The sequence below is a fragment of the Homo sapiens genome, chromosome 10, assembly GCF_000001405.40.
Source record: "Homo sapiens chromosome 10, GRCh38.p14 Primary Assembly".
In the NCBI taxonomy this organism is placed as follows: Eukaryota; Metazoa; Chordata; class Mammalia; order Primates; family Hominidae; genus Homo; species Homo sapiens.
The window spans coordinates 91,477,893-91,503,265 of record NC_000010.11 but is presented as its reverse complement, the minus strand read 5'-3'; the positions used below and the strand labels follow the sequence as shown (position 1 = coordinate 91,503,265).

The 25,373-nt window shown below is 32.2% G+C and overlaps 1 protein-coding gene and 1 long non-coding RNA gene across 14 annotated transcripts in view; one reads left to right on the top strand and one right to left on the bottom strand.

The window, feature by feature from the left end:
• The window catches only part of HECTD2-AS1 (HECTD2 antisense RNA 1), a 304,499-nt gene that overhangs the window by 108,195 nt on the left and 170,931 nt on the right, over positions 1-25,373 (top strand). The gene's annotated exons all lie outside the window — the stretch shown is intronic.
• HECTD2 (HECT domain E3 ubiquitin protein ligase 2) overlaps positions 1-25,373 on the bottom strand; it is a 105,586-nt gene that overhangs the window by 11,555 nt on the left and 68,658 nt on the right. For 4 of the 13 annotated variants that reach the window (XM_047424658.1, XM_047424659.1, XM_047424656.1 and 1 more), the window contains exons 6-20: positions 25,001-25,065; positions 22,127-22,172; positions 20,190-20,299; positions 18,611-18,759; positions 17,963-18,101; positions 15,488-15,584; positions 11,959-12,066; positions 10,782-10,914; positions 9,758-9,846; positions 6,894-7,052; positions 5,084-5,158; positions 4,307-4,394; positions 4,116-4,222; positions 2,649-2,764; positions 1,932-2,075 (exon numbers count right to left, since the gene is read on the bottom strand). In XM_047424658.1, the coding sequence (XP_047280614.1) occupies positions 1,932-2,075; positions 2,649-2,764; positions 4,116-4,222; positions 4,307-4,394; positions 5,084-5,158; positions 6,894-7,052; positions 9,758-9,846; positions 10,782-10,914; positions 11,959-12,066; positions 15,488-15,584; positions 17,963-18,101; positions 18,611-18,759; positions 20,190-20,299; positions 22,127-22,172; positions 25,001-25,065 (1,625 nt within the window). Of the gene's footprint in view, positions 1-1,931; positions 2,076-2,648; positions 2,765-4,115; positions 4,223-4,306; positions 4,395-5,083; positions 5,159-6,893; positions 7,062-9,757; positions 9,847-10,781; positions 10,915-11,958; positions 12,067-14,386; positions 14,531-15,487; positions 15,585-17,962; positions 18,102-18,610; positions 18,760-18,920; positions 18,933-20,189; positions 20,300-22,126; positions 22,173-25,000; positions 25,066-25,373 lie in introns of those variants that run through there. The other 9 variants (NM_001348365.2, XM_047424660.1, NM_182765.6 and 6 more) reach the window with 6 other exon arrangements.

Sequence of the window (25,373 nt, the reverse complement as noted above, 5' to 3'; positions counted from 1 at the left end):
TCATTTTTTGACTTTTTAATATAACAATAGCCATTCTGACCGCTGTGAGATGGTATCTCATTGTGGTTTTGATTTGCATTTCTCTAATGATTAGTGATGTTGAGCATTTTTTCATATGCTTATTGGCTGCATGTTGCCTTCTTTTGAAAAGTGTCTGTTCATGTCCTTTGCCCACCTTTTAATGGAATTACCATTCTTATTTAACAAAAATCTAGTGAATGAATATTCAATGGTGGACCTTATAAGATGAATGGAAACTCCTCTTTCAGCTGGAGTGTTGTCCTTGTCTTTTGAGGCATACCATTATTATGTCAAATTGAAATGTTGTATGTCTTTGATAGTCAGCTTTATTTAATATATGTGAGATTCCACTGGGAATCCTAGAGGTTCTAGATTCATGTTGAAGCCATGTTAGCTCACATATTCTTGAAATAATAATAATTATTGGGAAAGTTTAGAAGTAATGTCACCTTTGTATTAAAACAGATTGCTCAGATTACTCTTTTAAAATTGGAAATGTTTTTAATATAAAATAAAATATTCTGAAAAATTAACTTCTGTTATGCAAAAAATCTATAATCTAAAAAAATCCTCTTGAATTTTTTCATTTTAGGACTTTAATTGTAAATTTTGTTTAGAAATTTAATTATATATGTAAATATTTATTTTGTGTTTTAAATATAATCTTGATGATGACATAAATACTATTGAAGAAATAGCTATTGGGCACTTACCATGTGTGATTACTTGGAGCATACAAATATGTATAAGGCATAACCTCTTTCTTGAAGAACTAAATGACTCAGATATAAAGTGCAACATGGTAACTAGCACATAACTTCTACAAGATATTTGAGAAACTCAATACATAATGACTTTTGGCTTTACAGAGGAAGTCAACATTAAACTGTGTCTTTAATAGTCATAGCTGGCACATCACATGTAAAGGGAACAACTTGAAAGCATGGAGGAAGAAAGGCATAAAATATATCTAAGGAACCAGCAAACAGCCTGTTGACTAAAGCATAGAAAGAAATGAAAACTGGTAGATAGCCTGGGGTAGAAGACTAGAGCTTTATTTTACAGTCTCTGGATTCTAGAACTTAAACTGGCAATAAAGTTATTTCCCACGGAAATATGATCTAAATAGTGTTAAAGCACATGAGTTTAATAGGATAAAATAAGCTAGTAATGAAGATAAAAAGTAACTTTACCAAGGTAGAGGCAGTGGAAAAGCAAAGAACAGATTCCAGCTTTAAAATGAAAGGAAGAACTAAGAGCACTTAGGGAATGTTCAATGTATGGGGCAGGAGACAAAAATGATTATAATCAAAGTTATGTCTATTCAAGTTAGCTTTAGAAATTATAAGTTATTTGGGAAAAGGAGTAAGTTGATAAGCATTAATGCATTAACACTGCTAGAAAATAATTTAAATCCATCATCACCATCACTTCATATACAAAAAGCATGAGATTAAAAAAAAAAAGAGGATTAGTATTAGAGGTACTTCTGGTAATAATTATAGTATCCCCCAACCCCCTAGAAAAGAAAGAAAACTCCACAAACAAACCAGATATCCCAACTTAATGATTTTCCTAAAAATAAAAAACACATTTCACATTTAAATAAAAATGAACATTAGACAATCTACTACTACAAAGTAACTAGGTTCTAAAAGAGTCTACAAAGCACTTATATGACCTAGCAAAGTAAAAAGTTGTTAGAAATGAATTATTAGTTAGTATGTCTCAAAAACTAGTAAGAGAACTTTTAATCAAAATCTCTTACATTTCAAGGCCATGTTTACTCTGAAGATTTTTCTATGAAAATAACTTCAAACGGAGTACACATCCTGATTCCAAATGTATTATCATTAGCAGTATTAGCAGTAACCTTTAGATTTAAAATAAAATTAGATCCAGAAATTTACCAGTTAGTAGAAGTTTCATTCTTTGAGATTTTAAAGTTCAAATCAGCCATCCCTCCTACAGGTACTCTGTCACTCCCTGTAGTAAAATGTAGCAACTTCTTTTGAAGATCAAGAGGAAATCCAAGCACAACATCCCAAAAGTATCTAGAGAATACCAAAGGAAATTAACATCAAATGTCTTGACAAAAATCCTATAATAAAGTAATATAAAGGAAGCTCTAAGGAAAGGACTTTCCTTAAGCATACATAATATCCTGAATTTCTGTAAAATTAAGGAATGGTGAGCTTCTATATACGTATTAGACTTTTGACTAACATTATAAAATAATATTTTTATAAAAGTATATAAGTTCAGCAGTGGATAGTACAGGAACCATTTTTCTCCTGCATAACTTTCAAGTCTTATTTTTCAACATAGTGCTATTAAACTGTTATTTACAAGGATAGCATCCATGAAATTCTAGGAGCAAAGTCATTTTTTTAAAAGTAAAATCTCTACACTTTTGTAGAAACTTGCTTATAGAATTTTCTCCCAAAGGGAGTGATTTCATATTAAAATTCTCATAGACTTTCCAGAGATAAAATAAGACTGTGGGACTCTCTAATATTTTGACTAACTTAATTGATTCAAAGATTGTAAGTTATGCAAATAAATGAACCACACTGTCTGCTGTTCCCTCTCCACATCCCCCACTATCAGAAGTATAAAGAGCTCACTTTATAGTTAAGTCCGTTTTTGCATAGCCATCATACTGAGTACTTCTCTGCAGAGCATGCATATCCAGGTCAGGACTTCCACAGACCAAAATTTCAACCTCTTCTGGACGAAGCAGCTGCCAATAATTATTTATCAAAAACAATAATTAAAGAGTGATGGTTTTAAGTGAAACTGGAACTATTTTCACTGGATCAAATCACAAAAGTCATGATTTCTCATAGTAAATCAAACCATTTTTGTTGAAGAAAAATCGACTCTGGGTATATTTTTCCTGCCAAGGCAAGATATTTTTGCTTCCGAAGTTTATAGATCTTGTAAATAGTAATTAGCCGTTTGCCAGAAAAACAAGCAAATTACTTTGCACAAATCCAAATTACTCTTCTCCAAAAACCAGCATGAAGCTCCAACATCTACTGATCCACCTAATATCCCGTATCCTAGTATCTCCTTCCAATATCCCATAACACCTCCTGTGTGCACTGTAGAGTTTGGGCACTTGGTTATAGTCTGTCTTGTGTCTCTTGTTTTTTTCAACTTTCAGGTGGGTTAGTCTACCGCCTACAGAGATTAAAGCTCTAAAACACAGAGACCATGCTATGCTATTTAATTCTTATTTTCCCTCTGTCCACTCCCACAATTACCAGAGTGTCATAAACAAAACTTAACTAGAGCTCAATAAAGTGTTTCTCTTTCAAAGGTATTTTCGACAACAAACATATTACAAAGGTTTCTCTAAAACAAGCTGGCAATAATGTAAGCCACTTGGTTTTGCCCCAAAGCAACTTCTATAGTCCATTTCTCTCTCCCATGAAAAATAATTCAAATGAAAGATCTTACTCCAATCCCTCATAATGAAACTAAGGGAGGTATAAATGGCATGATGAAAGTGTGTGCTGGGTAGCTGGGGTGACTGAAAGGTATCCTATGATACTTCTGACATGGTATTCTAAATAGTAGCTGATCCATATTCACATGGCTAAGACAAGTCAGACCAAACTGAGTCCACCATAACTCTAGAGATAAACTACTTGCTAAGGGTAAAAGGCAATGCAGAGTTGCTGAGGGAGCCCTGAGGTAGCAGGAAGCAGCTATACATATGTTCCTTAATCATTAAGAAGTTGTAACTTTTACCCTGGAGCTACATGTTAACTGCGTTGTGTGCCTTGTCCTTCAGTATTAAGATCCTGAGTCCATGGATCCCTTCATCCACTCTACTTGGAGAAAGTTTGTAAAGCTCTAAAAGACTTAGTAGAAGGGGAGAGAAAATGAACTGACTGGGGTGTTTTTCCCCTCTAAAGAATTAAGACTGAAATGAGAGAACTATTTTTGTTTTTAGTTCTACTTTTAAAAAGTAGAAAATATTTTCTATTTTAAAAGCTTATCTACTAAAATATTTATTAATTATTTGTTAACATGATAGTACTACAAAAGCTAACCGAAAGCTTGATTTAAAGTTATAAACTCACCATTAGGGCATTTGAAGCACACACACTATGAAATCCATAATAAAATGCAGCAAACTGCTTATAGATGGATTTGTTCAGAAGGAAGTCAGTATAAAGCTGTACATATTCTGAAAAGCAATTTTACATCTCTTAAATAGTAAAAGTAAATGGCAAATACTAATTCATTTTAATTAAAAAGGGTATTAACTTACCTTTTCTATTTTGATTGGTAACTGAAATTTTATCACCACCGGGCTTTAAATTATAGGACTTGATTATTCCAAATTCTTCTTGAAAAACCTGATGGGAGATGCCATTACACATATTAATATGGTTGATATAATAACATACTTTGGTGAACAGGTTTGTAAAATTTAAAAAACAGTTTTTTTCCCCCTTCCTTCTAAACACATAAACTATAAAAGGCTAAGCTCTTGCAATATTTGTATTAAGAACGAGGGATCATAAAAGAATTATGGAGTTAAAAAATAGTGCCTTAACTTAACCCTGCCTAATACAGTTAAATACTTTAATGAAGTCCACAAAACTGTGTGGACATCTAGATAATACACAGCGGGTCCCTGGAGCTCTGCAGATCACTGTAATGTCCATTTCCCAAATACTGTAAAAGGAGTGGAAATCAGAGAGTTTTGGTCTGACTCATTAGTTTCTACTCCTAGCTTCTAATGTTGAAGTTACAGGAGAGGCTTATTTTTAGAAACTAAAAAGCTCTGAGAAAGTAACCAACTCAAGGGGATATGTAATTGCCTAGAGAGTACTCTGAACCCTTAGTGAATTTCATTAAGCACTTTCATTGACTGCTCATCTACACATGTCTACTTTATCAGGTTAAGGTCCTTTAAGACAGAGGATTGTATGTATTGGTTAATCCTTGTTCATCTTTTCTAACAGTGGGTATTTAATAACAAATTGCACTGTTCATATATGAAATATATGATTAACAGATAACTACTTGCCCTTAATAGTACCTGAAATGTTGAATAGAAATCTTCTTCAACATTGCCTTCATGTGATAAGAGTTCACTTAATCCATGGGCCAACTCCTATAAAAAGAAATCTGTTAATGATTTTTTCAATAGAATAGCATTAGCTAGGATAATGAAGTGGCTTTTCTATAGCTCATGCATATGTATATAAAGATCATATTTGACATGTATTTTCCAGGGCACAAAATGGTTAATGATTTCTACCATCCAGAGGCTAAGAAAAAAATCATTATAGGTCATAGATGGGGAAACTATCCAGTTCAAACTACAGGGGCATAACTCTGGGGTCTACTCTTAAGCAGCAAGCTAAGCATACCTCTAATGTAGTGTCTGTCATAATTCACTGCTATCTGCCACATTACTGTTTATGAATTTGTAGTATTTCTCACTTTCAATTTATATTCCTATGAAAATCTGCTAATGTTTTTGGATTCATATTTTAAACATAAAACACACAGTTCATTCATGTGCATTCATGAATATACAGTTCATACATGCACAGTGCCCTCCCCTCCCAAGAAAAAGTTAAGTATACTGAAAGAAACATTTTCTGGTTAGCCGGGCACGGTGGCTCATGCCTGTAATCCCAGCACTCTGGGAGGCCGAGGTGGGCAGATCACAAGGTCAGGAGTTCAAGACCAGCCTGGCCAACATGGTGAAACCCTGTCTCTACTAAAAATCCAAAAAAAAAAAAAAAAAAAAAAAAAATAGCCAGGTGTGGTGGCTCACACCTGTAATCCCAGCTATTCGGGAGGCTGAGGCAGGAGAATTGCTCGGACCTGGGAGGTGGAGGTTGCAGTGAGCTGAGATTGTTCCACTGCATTCTAGCCTGGACAACAGAGCAAGACTGTCTTGGGCAGAAAAAAAAAAAAAAAAAGAAACATTTTCTGGCTGGGCTCAGTGGCTCATGCCTGTAATCCCAGCACTTTGGGAGGCTGAGGCAGGCGGATCACTTGAGGCCATGAGTTCGAGACCAGCCTGGCCAACATGGCAAAACCCCGTCTCTGCTAAAAAAAAAAAAAAAAAAAAAAAAAAAAATTTGCCGGGCACGGTGGCACATGCCTAAAATCCCAGATACTCAGGAGGCTGAGGCACGAGAATCACTTGAACCCAGGAGGCGGAGGTTGCAGTGAGCCAAGGTGGAGCCACTGCACTCCAGCCTGGGTGACAGAGTGAGATTCTGTCTCAAAAAAAAAAAAGAAAGATTTTCTTACATTATATTATAATTGAAATTATCCATAAATAAAGATTTAAAAATAGAAAAATTGATCCAATATTTCAAAATTTTCAATTTAATTTTTATGAAAAAATTAAAGTTTTATTTTAAATTATTAGAAAAAGGTAAATAATAGCATGATTAGAATGATTTTCTATATTTTACATAATAAATGTTCTATTCCTTTAAAACCACAAATTTTCATACAAATCTAGGCTGGCACAGATTTGATATAATTGTCATCATTTAAAAATTATTAATAAAAACTATCCCATTGTTCACATAAAGAAACTAAATTGAAGGGTTAAATAACTTGTCCAAATTCACAGAGCTAGTAAGTGACAGAGCCTGGATTCGAATTACTGCCTCTCTATCTTGTAAAAGCTTAGGAGCACTGCAAAGTGGGTGACATGTGTCTCTAAGGAAAGAAAAAGCTAGATGAAAAAAGGAGATGAGTTATAAAGGTAGAAGGAAACCATATTTAAAAGTAAGAATAGCATTAGGAGGAGAGACTGTGCAGGTAGAAAAAAGATGATTTCGCATTAAAGGACAAGATATTAATAACTTTATACTTACAGGCATAATTTGACATAAGTCGTCCACGGTAACATTGCAGATGCCTACTGGTATATTTTGATCACTAGGAATGATGGGAGGGCTCAATAATTTCTTGTAACAGCAGGGAGGGAAACGAATATCCAAGGTGATGCTGTTATAAACAGCTAGTCCCATAAGCTATGCATACTAAATGTTAAGCATTAACATAAAATCCATGACAACAAATGAGTTCTGAATTATGCATCAGTCTATTTTTTGCATACTTCTTTCAGATTTAACACTGACTTTCTAATTAGTATCACATATTTCCTTTCCCCTCTTTCATTTATTTCCCCTTTATTTTACATAATATAATTCCTTGATTACAAAAAGTCATGTAAAAAGGAGTGGTTTAGTTGATAGTATTCAATGATTTCCCTAGAAAAGTTTATCTAAGATCACAACAGGCAGCAACTTAAGACTTGCCTGTAATTATTTTACAGAAAACATTTTCTAAATTTAAACAAAGATGCTGGCAATTTTATAAGCAGCAGCAATGGTTTATTCAGTAGATCTCACTGTAGAATACTGATTTTGGAGATAGCCATTTTATTTATTTTAAAATTAAAAACAGACTATGTGTGAAGAACAGAGCTAAACTGAATAAACATATGGATATAAACATGCTATTGATAAGCTAATAGGATAGGTAATTTCCAACAGTAAAACTTGAAAGACTTATGTTACTTGGAGTTTCAGTGTCAAAGTTAAAAAGCTACAGATGTTACAAATTTTGCTCAGGATTATTTATTAGTCATATGGTGGAATGTAACTTATCCATTTATGGAAAGAGAGGTTTTAGATCAAATTTCATAGTATTTCAACAGTCAATTATTATATAAAGTTATTAAGGAAGTAATTCATTTTATAGGATCATAAGGAAATCTAAACATATGAGCTGGGTAAATTACTGAAAATAACTTTTAAAAATTGGAAGACCACCAAAATTTCAATTTGCTAAGGTGTAATGAAGTCTGATAATAAGGCCTTATACTTCAAAATAATTGTATTAGAAACACAATACTGTCAGAACTACTAGAACAACACATCTTTGGTCCTGAAATTTTAAAACTGGAGATATATATGAAACCAACTATATTTTCTCAATGTTCATACCTGTTCTTTCTCAAATTTCAGTTCCCAACTCCTTACCTGACCACAATCCACTCTCATCTCACATTTCTCCTATATAGTATTATGCTTTTTACAGCATCAATTTAGCTTTCTATAGGTTTTATATCTGTGTGTGTGATAAACACACATAATAATGAGAGTAGCAATTATAATTTTTAGATTTAATTGTTTAACTTGAAATATAGAATATCTAAACATGCTTAATATGCTCTTTTGGGTAATGACTAAATAGAAACTAATATCTATTGCAAAAAAAACAATGAGCAATTTCATGATTTTATGTATAGTATCACTTAAAAATGTAACTAAGCTATAATATTTTAGTGTAAATATTAGAGTCAAAATATCATCCAAATCTAAATTGTGATATATGAATATAAAGCATGACAAACATATATGTATGAACATATAAATAGCTCATAGTATAGTGACAAGCATCAATGATTAGGCCCTTCAATGAAGATGAAACATTCAACAAATGATTACTGCAGATACTAGAATATAAACAGGAGTCTCAGAATTGTTAAGCGTTATTCATTTTGTGGAATTTAGCACTTTGGACCTTTAGACACAACAATATATACAAAATTTCAAGTTGAGTTTACTATCTTAATGTGTAGTTTGTTCCCTACTACACTTTCTTTTATTAATCTGGTCTCTCAGTTTCCATATATATGTCTCATAATTTATTCCAACAGATGTAACAAAGACAGACATTCAAAGATGGCTCTTCATTCATTTTCTGATGGTATTTTCCATAACTTTCAGTGCGCTTGCTGCTGCTCTCTACCAAGCCCAGCACAATTTAGCCTTTTTTATTCTCACCATTCTCTCAGCTTATAATGTCCCACCACTCTCACCAGCCATATATTAATCAAATGTAATTGTTCCATTTTTTAAATCTCTATCCTCTCTGGGAAAAATACATTGTATATTTTCCTTCTCAGAACTCCTTAGTACTTACTGCCATATGGTCATTTGACTCTGAGAACAGATTAAGAATTCCCCCCCACCCCTTTTATACTTTCTTATCTCCAGTGCTTATTTATTTACTCTTCCCTCCTTTCTTCCACAAACAATTACATTTCTTGGAATCTAAAAAGCTAATGTAGAAGGCATCTTGTCCAATCTCCTACCCAATGCAGAAATGCCCTCTACAATATACCTGATAGGAATCATAGGATTGCAGATGGACTTATAAAATTTTTAAAAATACTATAAAATAATACTATATGCTTTAAATATTCCCATTCCATTCAATTTTTATGGATGCTTCCTTTATGTTTCAGGATTTGGAGGCATATTAAAGAGCTAGATTTAATTCCCCCAATTTCAATTCAGTAAACTGAGGGAAATGAGCACAAAGTGAAAGAACAGAAAAAAAATACTTCATTATAAATGGGAAATACTTTGATTTTTTTTAAAAAATGCCTTAAATTAGTGATAACTTCAATTATATGTGAAATAGGAAAGAACCATTTTTATTTTGAGATAAGGTTTTCAGAAAAAAATCAAACTCTCATTTCTTTCAATTAAGTCTACTGACATATATTACACATAATGAAGATTACTGAAAATCTAATAGTACATTTGACAATAACATTTAATTTGGATAAAATGGCTAAAGAAAACAGTTTTCTAAAATACAGATAAAATCTTTAAAAATCTCTAATCTATTAGCACCTCCTAGTGGAAAGTTTAAAGGATACAATTCCAACCAATCGGAATTCAGAATAGTTATCACATTTAAAGCTGCTAAACCAATGGCAGTGTGAATCCTTGTGATATGTAAACATGCCTAAAAAAACACACGAATAATGTTATTATTAACATGATTGACTTAAAAAAATCAAAGTGGTAAACATGTACATGACATCTCATCTATTAGAAGCTAATCAATTCAACAATAATTCTGTTACAAACCATCTTTCAAGTTAAAAATTTTGGATTATTTATGGGACTATATATTTGCAAATCTCAGCAAATATAAATATATATATTAAATATATATGGAGAACATTTTATTTTCCTGAACCAAGGGTAGAAACAGGGTAAAAAGATAGAAACTAAATGAATCAGATAACTTTATAAAAAGTATAGTTTCATAGATTATAAATTATGATCAAAATTAATTTTGAGGATATCTGGAGACTTCAATTTATCACTGTCATCCCTATTTCCCATCACATACACATATAGAAAAGAAAACTAAAGAATAAGGAAAACACTGAAAATTCTCCTTTGAAAAGTTTAACAGATAGTAAGGATTATACAGGTAGTTTCTGTAAAATAAAAAATTTCAAAGGCTTATTTTTTCTTAAAAAATTAATTCATGAATTCTTATTTATTAAAATGACCCATTAATGAAAGAGGCTTTAAATGTTACTATAGAGCAAACTATAGTTTTGTGTTTTAATTTCAAATGTTTATTTCAATGACAAATTAAATTTTCATGCATTTGACTTATTCAGAAAAGATATGGATGTTTCCTCATAAATGTTTACTTTTAATCTTGATACATTTTGTGTAGGATTCCCAGTAAGAGAATCAACTGATCAACAATTCGGTCAAACAAGTTTTTAAAATGTAAATAACAGTCCTTAAACAATTATTCAACATTTACGATGGACAAAAAGTCTGTAAAATCACAGAATAGGTTAAAAATAAGGGTGACTACTTCACTCTAACAATTATGAAGAAACACAGTTTATAAAAATTAGATTACATACTTACCATAATCTGGATGAAAAATTTGGCGAATTAGAAGAAGGAACCATTCTTTAGTCAAACCACCCATATCCAAACCAGCTTCCCCTACAAATGTAACTTTTAACTTCTTTTTCAAATCGGCTCTTTTCCGGGTTAGCTATTTGAAGATATTATACAGTAGAGGAGAACAAAGAGCAGTGAAAAGAGAATTAACATTTTTAATTCTGGGAAATGTGTTAGGCAGTCTTTAACTTATTTGCAATGCTACAAAACTCCATCCCTCCATTTATCCAATAAATCTGCCAGACACTGTGTGAGCTAGGTGTTTACTATGTCTTATAGATCAGGAAACAGAATTAGAGAGGTCAGGTACTTCACCCAAAGTACTACCTCCTGGTATCTACTGCCTTCAAATTTTTAATTTAGCACAATATAATTCATTTCTTTTTTTAAAAAAAACTCCCCTTCAATGCTAAACTTTAAAAAATCACATAGCTAGGGCTGGGTGTGGTAGCATGAGCTGGTAATCCCAACTATTTGGGAGGCTGAGGTAGGAGTATGGCTTGAGACCCTGAGACCAGGAGTTTGAGGCGGCAGTGAGCTTTGATTGTACCACTACACTCCAGCCCAGGTGACAAAATAAAACTTGTCACAAAAATAAATAAATAAATAAATCACATAGCGGAATCAGCCATTATCTTCTAATAACCATATTAAGATCTAGCTGAAGCATTTTTTATGATAATACATGAAAATGCAATCAAAGTATGTTAGAACCTGTATAGACCCAATATACCCTGTAGGTCAGACCTCTAATTTTATAGATGTGTAGTCTGAGACCTGGAGAAGTTAAATGACTTGTTACACACATAACCAGGAACAAAGGTGGGTCTGGAATCTAGGTTATATACTAAGAAACATGAATTACTCATTTAAGTGTTCTACATCAAATCCTTTTCTAGGGAATTAACAAACTATTAATAAACATACAAACATGAATATAAGACAATTATGAATACAGATCTGATTTTAACTATGGTATCAAACTTTACAGAAGCTTGGTATGCAACAAGATCTTCAAAAGAATTTAAGGAAGCACACTTATTGGCATACAGAAATAAAAAAGTTTACTATGATTTTTATAATAATCATATTATAGAATTTTAAGCTTTAATTAATATCATTTTGGAATAAATTATACCTCATCAAGTGAATCGCTAACCAGATGTGTCCGTCTTACTTTCATATTTAGAAATAATATATTCATATCAGGTCTCTGTCTTCGAGATACTTTATCCACCAGACTTTGCTGATTAAATAAGAAAGTAAACAGTTTTGCTTTTACTTAGACTATAATTTCATTTAAAACATTTAAACACTTTAGTAAAAATAACAATTATTATCTATGCCATTTCTTATATAAACAATTTTATAAAAATCAATTATACACATTTTGATTTGTGAAAATGGCTTATTATTATTTCATTTTGTAACAATGATAACCAAAGGGGATCCAAAGTGGAGGACCAAAAATAATTCACCTTCTGTAATAAAAAATGTTGCATCACAGTTTCCGTATGTCTCATCTCTTTTTTTTTTTTTTTTTTTTTTTTTTTTTGAGACGGAGTCTCACTCTTTCGCCCAAGCTGGACTGCAGTGGCGCTATCCCGGCTCACTGCAAGCTCCGCCTCTTGGGTTCATGCCATTCTCCTGCCTCAGCCTCCCGAGTAGCTGGGACTACAGGCGCCCACCACCACGCCCGGCTAATTTTTTGTATTTTTAGTAGAGACGGGGTTTCACCGTGTTAGCCAGGATGGTCTCGATCTCCTGACCTCGTGATCCGCCCGCCTCGGCCTCCCAAAGTGCTGGGATTACAGGCGTGAGCCACCGCGCCCGGCCATGTCTCATCTCTTAAATAGCAAAGTTTTCTGTTTAATAAATACAAATATAAAATGGGAACATTCAAAACAAGGTATATATTCCTGATGATAAACCTGGACTTAGGATTTTTTAGATATTGAATTTTCTTTAAAGGTACAATTAGTCTACTTTACAAAAGTGACTTGTCAACATGTATCAAAGACCATCACAATATTCATATCCTTTATCCCAATAATCCTTCCACTGAGAATTCTTAGAACATATTTTATACAGTACAATGTTTATCACAGCATTATCTATAAAAACAAAACTTTAGAAATATCTTAAGTACATATACAACTAATGAAAAAAAGGATGGTCATAAAAACTATGTAAATAGTACAAGGAAGGTACACTGAAGAAAGTAGGAAATAAAATTGTGTTTACAGTACTATTTCAACTCTGTTGTCTTTTAAAGATAATATAGAACAAATATCAAAAGAAAATTTACTAAAATGTTAATGGCTTTGCTTGGGGGATAGAGATATGAGTGACTCAAAATTCTTTTGTCACCGTTTTTCAAAATATAAGCACTGAATAGGTAAAAAACAATATATTTAAAAATATCTATAAGGAATATGTCATTTGTCATATAAAATCCACAGGCTTATATATTTATCTAAATAGTCTTTATTAGACTATATCTTTTTTTGGTAACAATGAAAACTATTGTGCAGATTAAAGATAAACATTTCAGACATTTTAAATACATGCAGCAATTTGCTTTAATAGATAAAATTTTAGTATCACAAATCTACAATTTAAGGCTACTTACAATTTTGAAGATTACTATAATAAAACACTAATTTGGAGCTTTCTCCATTTCTCCTATATACAACGCTAAATGCTATTAACAGCCTTTTATTTCTGTGTCCTCACTTATCAAGGAAGTCTGCATTCCTAGCATAGTGTCCTGTGTTACAGACCGTTTTTTCCTACCTTTTCCTATCTTCTGTTCCCAGTCTAGCTCTTGGGCAGCTGTCACATTGGAAATAACTAATAAACAAATTTATGCTAGGATGCTAATGGCAAACAAGATTAGTAGCTACTCCTCCCATCAGGAATTCATATTTACTGGAAAATGCTCCAAATGAAAAAATAACCCAACAATGATACAATTCTTGACACTGTGACTGAGGAACTTATTTTAGGTTAGGAAACCAATTTTGTATATTTAGATTGTACCATATAAGCTCTTGCTTACACTGACTATTTGTAAGATTGTCCTTGTGTCAAAATAGTCATCAGTCATTAATTCCAAGTGATATGGCAATTTATGAGATAAAATGTTGGGAAACACCCATAAAAAACTGATAATGCCACTTAGCTCTCAATGTCAAGTGTCTACTCATTCGTTTGCATGCTCTGTAGAAAACTTAGCCTGTCACAGAGTCTACACCTGCCATTCTCCTTCTTTAAAGTAGAAGAAAAATTCCACAAAAAGATATTTGATATCCTGTGAGTGACACAGAAAAAACTGTTTAGTCTTGCTAGTTTAACACAAACTAGCTCATTCTGTTACGTACAAAAGCACTGTAGATTTTCTTACAAATATAAAAAAATCATAGACCAAGGTGAAAAAATACTAAAAAGGCACATGACATTGTACGAGTACAACTAACAGAAAATGTCAGAATGAGTAGCTATACAGCTAATCATTGAGCCAATATCTACCCAAGATCAAGTAACAATTCTGGTGCTGAATATACCTGTTTAAACTCATTCTTCAGGGGGGTAGTGTGGCTTTGGAATTCCCTTGATGGGCATAGGCAATAAAATTTCTTCTAATATTCCCATATTCAGTATAAGATGACTTTGGGATGTCACCAGTTACTCAAATCTTTTGTCCTTCTCTGTGATAGAAAGAAATACTCACCTTCTGGGAACTGAATTACTGAAGAATAAACATTCTTATTTTTTATAGCATTTTGAAGTATTACAATTTATGCTTTAGGATTCTTTTTATACTCTTGAACAAGATGGAAATCATTTCTTTTTACTCTATATTCCTTTTTCAATTAAGAAGACCACAGCCAAGCTTCCCTCTTTTAAAATTGTGAGCAATCATGTAACACAAGCAGATGTTTGAAATACATAAGCACTTAAACAAATAGTTTAGAGCTCTAACAGAAAAACCTCACTGAATCTGATATTTATTAGATAAAGTACATTACTGTGCTGAGCTGAAACACAAGGGATAGGAAGTGGTAAGGACAGACTGAGAGATAACTTCATACTGCTCTACAATTTGCCTAAACTCAGTCTGCTTGCTATCCCCAGCCTCTTTGGGTCTCCATGCATTTTGGTTTCCTAAGAACCAATAAAACATCTTTCACCTTCTTTGGGCATATTTCTCAGTTCTCCAAGACACACTTTTTGTTACATTTTCTAATTTTTCGGTTGTTTCTGATTTTCATAAAACCTAGAAAATGTTTCAGTAGTTTGAGTGGTTTGCCTAATGACACTCTGCCTCACCGCAGTTCTCAATGCTCTGCTGGTTATCTAAGGTTGGTGGTATGGTATCTGCAAAACGAGGTCCAACAAGCTCTCAGTAATTTGAATCTGTGAGAAGCATTTACTCTTCCTACTATATTTATAATATAATGAGAAGTTGATCAGAAGAGATGAGAGTTATCTTGTCTCCCAAATTGTAAATAGTTTTTAAGCACTTTTTGGGTGAGTATAACACGAATTTTGCTTTTAACATTCCTGATTATGCTAGAACAATTCACAAGACATTTAAATTATTTATTAAATTATTTACTATACTGATTATAGTCAGCATAAATATGTTTTTATAGCTGACTTACCCTTGCGATGTTTATCATCTGTTGCTCTGAGTCTCTCTGAATAATGATTTTTTTTGCAGCTACAGAAATAACGAATGGGTACTGACAGAAGGAAAACCTGCTCAACAAGTGAAAAAAAGAAAAAGCAAAATGGTGTATTTTTAACAAAATTATACTAAGGGAATCTAAGGTACCCCTTGTAGCAATATAAAACATTACTTTTGGATTGTGTTTTACCATATACAAAATGATTGTATGTGTATAATTTCTTTTAATTCTCACAGCCATGTGAAGAATGTATCATTACTAGATGTGCAATGCCTTTATTCTCTGCAGAAGCTACATCAAAGGTTCTGAATGTGTGCTAACCACTTACATTGTCTATACAAATAATTTCATTGTATATCATCACCTGTGAACAACATGGCCAATACCAGAACCAGGAGGGAGAAGTGTTGGTTAAGTAGTACAGAAAACCCAGGTGCTCAAAATTAATATAAGAATCCATCATTATATGGTGACTTCTGATGTGTGAGTTCCAGAAATGAAAAAATCTAACAATAACTACAGTATGTAAAAAGTAAAGTAATATATTTAAGACCAATAAAAATAAATCAGAAATGTATGTTACATTTAGTATTATATTTAATGGTGTGGTAATAGGAAATGGTATGTATTTGTAATTACACATTATAAAAAGGTTATGAAAATAACCCCTCCTGGGCTAGAACATTCTATGCTATGCACAAAAGCCACAAACTACACAGAGATAAATGCATTTAGAAAGAATGAATATGGCAGCAATGACACTTCTGGAGTTAGATTGCCATTCAAAGTGACTACAGTGAATCTATCAGTTACAGCTGGAATCCCTCTGAGCATAGTCAGGTGGTACAACTGTGACCACTGAGAAAAAAGGCATTATTAGGAAAATGGATATAGCCTTAGTGTAAACTGAAAGTGAGATGGCTTTTACCATGGGACAAAATTGTTAATAAAAGTTGAGAGTTCTTCAGTACTGGTATATAATTATTTTGAATCATTAATGCTAACAAAAAATTGGAAATAAAAAGAAAATGCAATGAACTCAGTAAGATATATATTAGTTTTACTATGTACTTTAGGACAGGGGTTCTCAACCTTTCCCTTGTTATGCACAAGAGAAATGATACTTTGTGAATGATACACTGAAATGAACAGATGAAGCTGCTCATGGCCAGAGATCACTTGCCATAGGGCTCCTGTTCCCCTCTAGGTTCAGGCTGGCTACCCAAGGGTTGACAGGATCCTAGGATTAAAACCCTAATGTAACTCATTCTTGGTACACCAGTGTTGTGGCACAGTTGTTAGAGGAAGCTCTATATTAAAAGATGTTGTTGTCAGTGAAATATGCATAATAATTCTTGGCGCTGTTTTGTGGTTGTATCTACAACACATTACAATTATATTAAAATGGAAGGAAAAAGTATCTTTGTAAAGTAAACATTGCCAAGAAAATATCCATCTGGGACTAGGGTGCCCAGAACTTAAATTCTTATTCTTATTCAGTTCTGAGTGTTCAGATGTGAAATGAGATGTGTCCAGAAGCCCATTCTATGTTTCAGGCCAATTCTGATAAAGAGGGTCCCTGGAAAGTTTAACCAATTTACAAACTAATCTGGGGTTTTGAGGTTACTTATATCCACACTGTATCTCTTTACTCAGATTCCTCTACAATTAAATGCAATCTCCTGAACATCTCATGACCTGAGGATAAATTATGTTTGGAATAGTCTTGCTAGTTTAATCCAAACTAGAAGTGTGGATATAAAGTGCAGTGTATTAAATAATTTGGTGACTGTTTTACAAATCTATTAATTATTATAATAAATAAGCTGTGGTAAGGCCCTTTCTCTGTAACATCTACTCTTTTTATATTGCACCTAATGGACAACCACTTTTTCTTACAAAAGAAATGAGAAATGAATGTATGTGTGTGTCTGTGTGTGATCAATATATTAGATCATGCATCTGCAAACCATGGGCCTAAGACAAATATGGCCTACAACCTGTTTTTGTAAATAAAGTCATTTGGGACACAGACATATCTATTCATTTACATCCTGTCTAAGGCTACTTTTGTGCTAAAATAGCAAAATAGAACCTGTGTAACCTATAGTGTTGAAAATATTCACCATCTAGTTCTTTACAGAAAAAGTTTTGCTGACCCCTGTGCATAGAATAGTAAGAGATAAGAGACTGCATATTAAGATAGAACCTCTCCCTTCTTGAAAAGATGCTATTAACCAAACCAAAACCAAATTAACATGTACATAAATTCAAAATGTAGCAGAAAAAGAAAATACTTTAATAAATATGATATTTCAAGGCTATCTGAACTATATTTATACATTTATATGTAAACGTATGTGTAAACTTCATATAAACTTAAACTCTAGTCATTCTTTTGAATAGTATTTCATTTAGGTGGATAATCAAAGGAACTTTTGTTCATACCTGTGAGAGTTTCCAAAGTTTTGCCAAGTATGATATTCTTCCATGAGATCAATGTGATCCAATGTAGAATTATAGAAATCAGTATAAGGAATAAGGGGAGGGTGAACTAAATTGTTTGCAGTATCTGTAAAGATAAATTCTAACATAAAGACTTTTTCCAACATGTACAAGATTCATTCTAATAATAAAAACATCATTTTAATGTCTACAAGACAGCCTTGACCTAGAAACTCCTATTTTAAATAAATGTAGCTCCAAATGAAAGGGGTAATTTAAAAATTGTGGTTAAAATGCAGCCAATAGTTTCTTGCTTAAAAAAGAAAACTTGTGGTGAGGATTATAATAGTATTAAAGGGAATATGCAGATGGCCATTTACTCCTATTTCTGTGTGTTCTCTCTTAGGGGTCCTAGCTCATATGCACTTAATTGCCATAATACAGAACACTGTCCACTAAAAGACATAAAGCTTTTTTCATGCTTATAAATTATGAAATCTATTATCAAAGTAGAAAATAAATTACAACTCTTTCCTTCACAGAAATGGTTTAAAATTTAAGAATGCCTCTATAGTCTTTTGAAATCCTTAAGAAATATCCCTAAAATGTAACAAAAGAAAAGTAAAAAATGATAGAATAATAAAAACCTACTAAGTAAAGCCAACACTTTAGCGGCTGATGGAATCCACCAGGAACACTTTGTTATAGGTGGAAATTCTTCAGGCTTTGCAGGAAACAGGCGTAAAGAAATAAATTGCAGCAATCTCTCTACCAATTGTTTGAACCTCTTCTGGGACAATCTGGTAAAGATTTCAAAATAATTGCAATCAAAATTCACATTTTCTATTTCCAAAATTATCTGTTAGATATTAAACTACATCCTAAGCCACAAAATTTTAGACTATTCCCCCAAATTCTATTTCTTAAATTGCCAAACATTTGAAAAGATACAAAATCTTACCTTGAATACTGTCTTCGTTAAATGAGAAATAAACACCAAAATTACTATAAAGTTAGTAACAAACATTTTAAAGACTTTCAATATTCAGTCTTCATTATTCACAGATTCTATATTTCCAAATTTGCCTACTTGGTAAAATTTAATTGTTAATCCCCAAATCAATACTTGTGTTTTCATGGTCATTTGGGGACATGTGAAAGATGTTAGTCTCCTGACATGCACATTTCCAGCTGAGGTCAAAGTGATGTTCTGCCTTGTTTTAGCTCAATACTCTCTCTTTGCAAGTGTCCTTTATGCAATCCATTTAGCTTCATGTTTTTCACATTTTGGTGCTTTTTGTTGGTGATTTTGCAATTTCAAAATGGCCAAGTGTAGTGCTAAAATGCTGTCTAGTGTTCCTAACAAGAAGGTTGTGATGTGCCCTACAGAGAAAATATGTATGTTAGAGAAGCTTCATTCAGGCATGAGTTACAGTGCTGCTAGCCGTGAGTTCAATGATAATGAATCAATGACTTCTATTAAATGAAGTGTGTCTTTAAAAAAAACACTCATAAAGCAAAGTTATATACTGATTGGCTGACAAAAATGTGATCAGAGGCTCACAGGAACCTAACCCTGTATTTCCCCTTGAAGCAATGGTTCTGTATTTATTAATTCCATGTTTGTGGTGACATTATAGAATATAACTACTATGAATAATGATAATTTACTGCATTTAAAATTTCTTTTGGAAATATTTTGCCTTTCTACTTTTATCAGTCATGGAGAAGTCATTGTTCATGTGGGTATAGTTCTGTGAAAAAAGTATTATGCTTTTACAAATTGATATTGATGGCTAGCCTATATTTTACAATGACATTTTTAGGTAAGGAGAAAGCGCCATTTAAATAATGGTGAAATTTATGAATTTACAGATAGAAAATAAAAAGACACACATTAAAATAGTAGTGTCTGAGCAAATCCAGTCACCATCTTTGAGATACGTAAAAAACCAATAATAGGAATGTGCTATATAAAAAGTGAAGGCAGTAGACAGAAATTCTCAACAGCTTGTGCAAACAAATTGGTTACTTACATTAAAAACAGATTTTTAATTATCCTTTATGTAGTACTAAAGTAGATTTTTGTAACTGGCTTTTGAAGCATTGTGAATATAAGCATCATTTCTAAAGACCTGAAAATATTTAAATATATTTTATTGTAAAATTACTAATACCAAACTTAAAACTGTGAGACTATAAAAGTTCTTAATATCATAGAATGATTTACTTTTTAAACCAGTGAACTAGGAAATGATGGTCAGCTTCCACTAAGGTAGCTATCTGTCGTAGCAAGTGAGCATAGATGACATACGTAGATGTGTTATTAAACTGAGGATTCTGAAAAAGATATTAAAGATAATTGTGTTAAAATTCTGTTAACACGTAAAAGGAAAGACACTAAGCTTAATAAGTACGTGGTAAATTCAGGAAACAAAATTTGAGATTATAAAATAACAATAACCTATTTGTTATTTAATTAACAGAGACTTTCATTTACACTGCGGCTATACAGTGAAAAGAGCATGGGCTTTGGAGTTAAGACAGATCTGGGTCTGAGGGCTAATTCTACCACTTACTAGCTATATGCCCTTAGGCATGTTCCTTACACTTTGATTCTCAATGTCCTTATCTGTAAAATGGGAATGATATTCTCTATCTTAAGGGTTGTTTTGAGTATCGAAAAAGAAAATGTATATAAAGCACCTTCATAAAAAGTGCCTTCATAAATGGTACCAATCACTATCATCCAATTAAAAGCAAAAAACCTGGGTGTTCCTTGATTAAAAGCTAGAAAAACGAAGTAAAAGCTGGTTGTGAAACTTTTGCCATTGTAAAATGAGTTAGCCTCATATATCACAAAGAACAAGGGGAGAAACACATACAGCTTCTGACAACTTTTAAATGATAAAGGGACGCTGAAGGAATACTTGTAAACTAAGAAAAGCCTTTAGTTAATGTTTCCAAAATATAAAATTCTAGCACAATGTACATTTCAGCACATCATGGAAAAAATAAATATTATTGAAAAAAACCTCCTGAAATTGTGAAAAATAAGAGAGCACCATGTGTTTTTCAAAACTGACTTATTGACAGAACAACTCAAAATCTGGGACTGACCTCAGCTGATAACTTCATCTGGTAATGGCTCTTGAGAAGAACAAAATATGAGCAGAGCTTATGGCTGACCAATATACTCACCTAAAATCTGAGCTTCGTGTCATCTTTCTAGCTTTTACTATCTCTACATATGTTTATTCTTGAGTTTTGGCTCTTTCTCCTCTTACTTCTCTATTTTCCCTCCTTACATTTCTCTTCTTAACTACCTCTTGGTCATTTTCCCCCCTTTTCCACTTTTTCCTCTTTCCTCACTTTCTCTATCCCTACCCTGTATATGTTCTTTCATTAGACATATTGATATTATAATATCATAATATTGTACTAAACACTATACTTATTTAATATAGTTTTCCTTACTTTTAAATGAGATAATATACATGGACAACTTTTATAAATTGTAAAGAATAATGCAAATGTATTAATAGTATGCTAGCTATGGTAATAATGTATTTCTTCCTCAAAAAATAATAAAAAGTAAAAATTGCTTTTCATTTGTCTGGATCTTAATTTCTTTTTGTATCTATTAATCTGTATCTATCAAGAGGAAAAAGTTCATTATCTTCGCTTTATAACAAATTAAAAAAAAACCTTTTATCTTTCCATAAGAATTCTAATTGAAGTTATTGAAAAATACATAGTGAAGTGAAAACCTACTAGATGGGAAAATAAAAGAAAATCCTGAAGCCTGTTAAAACTAGTTACAAGAAACAGGTTTGAATGGAGGAGGAAGAAGTGCTTCCATTCTGTTTGTTCCTGAATACTCTGGCAGGAACTAAATCAAAATTTTAATCTCACATGTAATTTAGCTTCTGATTATTTATTTGTTATGGCTTTAATCTTATTTTTCTTACTTTTTAAAATCTTACTTATCTTTTAATCTTATTAATCCTACTTTAAAAAAAATCTTCTGGTTACAGGTAACTATAATTCTAAAAAGAATCAATAATGTTGCCCAAAATGATATTTAATATTTAATATCATTTCACATACACATGTAGGGATTGAGATCTGACTTAGACAACTTCAACTAGGTTCTGGTTCTCTTACCTGTAAAAGTATAAAATATGCTCTAAGATCATCTTTTGTTCGTGGACTGAAAAAGAAACAAGAATAATTTATTATGGATGAATGTTTAATCTCATAGCATCTAACGAAAAAGACCAATAAACTTTTCTATGAAGACTGAGTTGAGAAAAGCCAAAAACTAGGATTAATATGCATTATTATTGAGACAGTCCATAATATGCTGAAAATACAAGTGCTTCTGTGCCTCTCCTAGGCTGATTCTGAAGATAACTAAAGACTGAGCTAACTAGGCTATAACATTTTGTGAGGTAAATATGATTAACTCTGGAAGTAGTTAGGTGTGTAATAAAATCATCAATTTTAGAATACTTATGTTTTTGTTTTAATAAAGGATAATCTTTACTTAAGAACATTTATGTATTAAAGAAAGAAAATATGCTTGTGTTTCTAGGTTCATTCCTAAAGTGATGTAGAAATGTCTGTAAATCAAATCATACTTTAAATACATCCAGTATGCTTCTAACAGAAAGAATCATGAAAAGTAAGTAATTTTTTCCATCTTAATATGAATTCTCATAGTATGAGATTTGGCCAAGAGCTTTTGTTATTCTCAAGGCTAATGAGTGTTTCTTGCCTGCTCAAGATCTATTTGGTACATTCTCACAGATATCTGGAAGTAACTTCTTCAATTGAAAATGGTTCACCTCTATGACAACCAGATGCAATTCATGATTCCTAACTGGGTCCTGGATTGAAAAACAAAACCCAGATATTAAAGCTTTTGTCATTCTCTATGCTGACAAGTGTTTCTTTCTTGCCTGCTCAAGATCTATTTGTATATATCACCTATTCCTCCAAGTCCTTTCCTATCCTACCTAGAGCTTTATAATCTTGGCAAGGTCATTTATGCCTGCATAAATTATCAGGCATGCACAATAAATTGTATGAGTAGGTTTGATTTCTTAGAATTTTTTTAATGATATTTTTACTATAATATTCAGGAAGCAGCTAACTCCCAGTTTGGCCTTAACCCTTCAGTCCTCAGACACTTAACTGAGATGTAACAGGGGTTTCATCTTTTTGAGTCTAGTAACTGATTTTCTGAAACGTGAGATATAGGAAAATATAATACAAAAAGGTCAATTTTCTTACAACAAGCAAGAGTTTCTAACAGAAAATCAGGCAAATCTGCAATAAAAAATGGCAAAAGTAGGTGGAAAACTTATAAAAGGATAAATAAAAATAGCAACAAATGATAAAATGTTAAGCTTATTAGTATTAAGGAAAAGTACATAAAAATGAGATCCACTTTTCATTTATTAAATTAGGCCAAGTTTTGTTAAAAGAAGATACCAATGAAGTCTCAGGCCCTCTGCTGTTAGAAGTATACATTATCATAACTGCTTTGTAAATAAATCTGACAAAATGTATTGTCTTAAAATGTTTATACTCTGATGCAGTAATTATATTTCTAAAAAAATTTTTACATAAATGCTCAGAAAAGAAGATTTTTGTACAAAATGTTCACTGTGGAATTATTCACATAAACAACCATTCTTGGAGAATGGTTAGGTAAATTACAGTACATTCCTATTCTAAGTTATTAGTCAGACATTAAAAGTGTGGTTTAAGAAGGAAAATGCAAACAGATTACTAGAGTAATAAACTAAGAAAAAGATCATTAAGTTAAAAGTCACATGAAACTATACAGTATGATTTTAATTGTTTTTAAAAGATGACTAGAAAAACACTGTAAAATGTAAACATTTTTTACTTTCTTCTTTTTTTTGAGACAGTCTCACTCTATTGATTCTGAAATTTATGTTACAGATAGAAACTAAAAAGACATACATTAAAATAGTAGTGTCCAAGCAAATCCAGTCACCATCTTTGAGATATATAAAAAACCAGTAATAGGAATGTGCTATATAAAAAGTGAAGGCAGTAGACAGAAATTCTCAACAGCTCAACAGGCTGGAGTGCAGTGGCATGATCTTGGCTCACTGCAACCTCTGCCTCCAGGATTCGAACGACTCTCCTGCCTCAGCCTCCTGAGTAAGCTGGAATTACAGGACGGTGCAACCACATCTGGCTAATTTTTGTATTTTTAGTAGAAATGGGGTTTCACCATGTTGGCCAGACTGACACTTTCTTCTTTATACTTCTCTGCCTTCTCTATATTTTCTATAATAAGCATGAATTTCTTTCAAAATCAGAACAATTAAAATATTATTAAAATATATATGGTACATGTAACATTACATTTAAGAATTCTACTTAGGTATTACTTTTAAACTAGACTTGGCATTCCTTTGGCTTTAATGGAAGTTATTATTTAAATAATATACTTTTAATATAAATTTAAATATGTATTTTTAAAAGTACATTTTTATATTATGCATATTCATGGTTCAAAACATTACCAATTAAATTGCCCATGATTCCTTATATAAGAATCTAATATTTAGTTCTGAGAGAAAAAAATATTTTAGTAGCTGGCCTTAGGCGTCCCTATAATAGAAATAAGAAAAATTTCACTCTGGCTACCAGGAAGCCCAAGGCTAAATTTAATGCTCATTATTTCAGTTAGGTTACTGATGTAAGTACCCATTCCATTTTTGTTAAGCATATATATCTGCATAGAAAAAACTTTACATACAATTTAAAAGAATTCACAGATCTTTTTATGCCCATCTATAGATCCTACTGAGAGGTCACAAATCTCAAGTTATACAGCTTTGTTGTAAATGGCTTATAATTCTTTTCTCATCTATGTTATTATAACTCAACTAAAATCTTTTCTGAGAGTAAAATACATACACATGTGTTAAAGATATATGATGTGTAAGTTAGACATCTATACTGATTAGCTAAATATTGAAAATATTAGTTTACCCTTTCCATTCTCGTAACAGGCTGTTAATGATTCCCTTTAATACTGTCTTCTGAACGTCTTGAGGCTGTAGGCAAAAGAAAACAGTAAGGTAATTAGGATTACCAAATTAGGTGACGTTTATATGTTAATTATATTTACAGATCTGTTTCAATAGTTAAAATCAGACTTGATGACTCAGGACTGACACTTATAGTAGTACTGATTTTACATTTAAGAACTCTAGAGAGCATCAATGACATAAGATTACAGTAAGAGTATCCCTGGTATGTGTAGCATACAACATGCACAAACATATATGGTGGTGGTTGATGACCAACAGAATTTTTATATAACTGGAAAACAATTTCACTTTCCTTGACCCGACAGGACAGA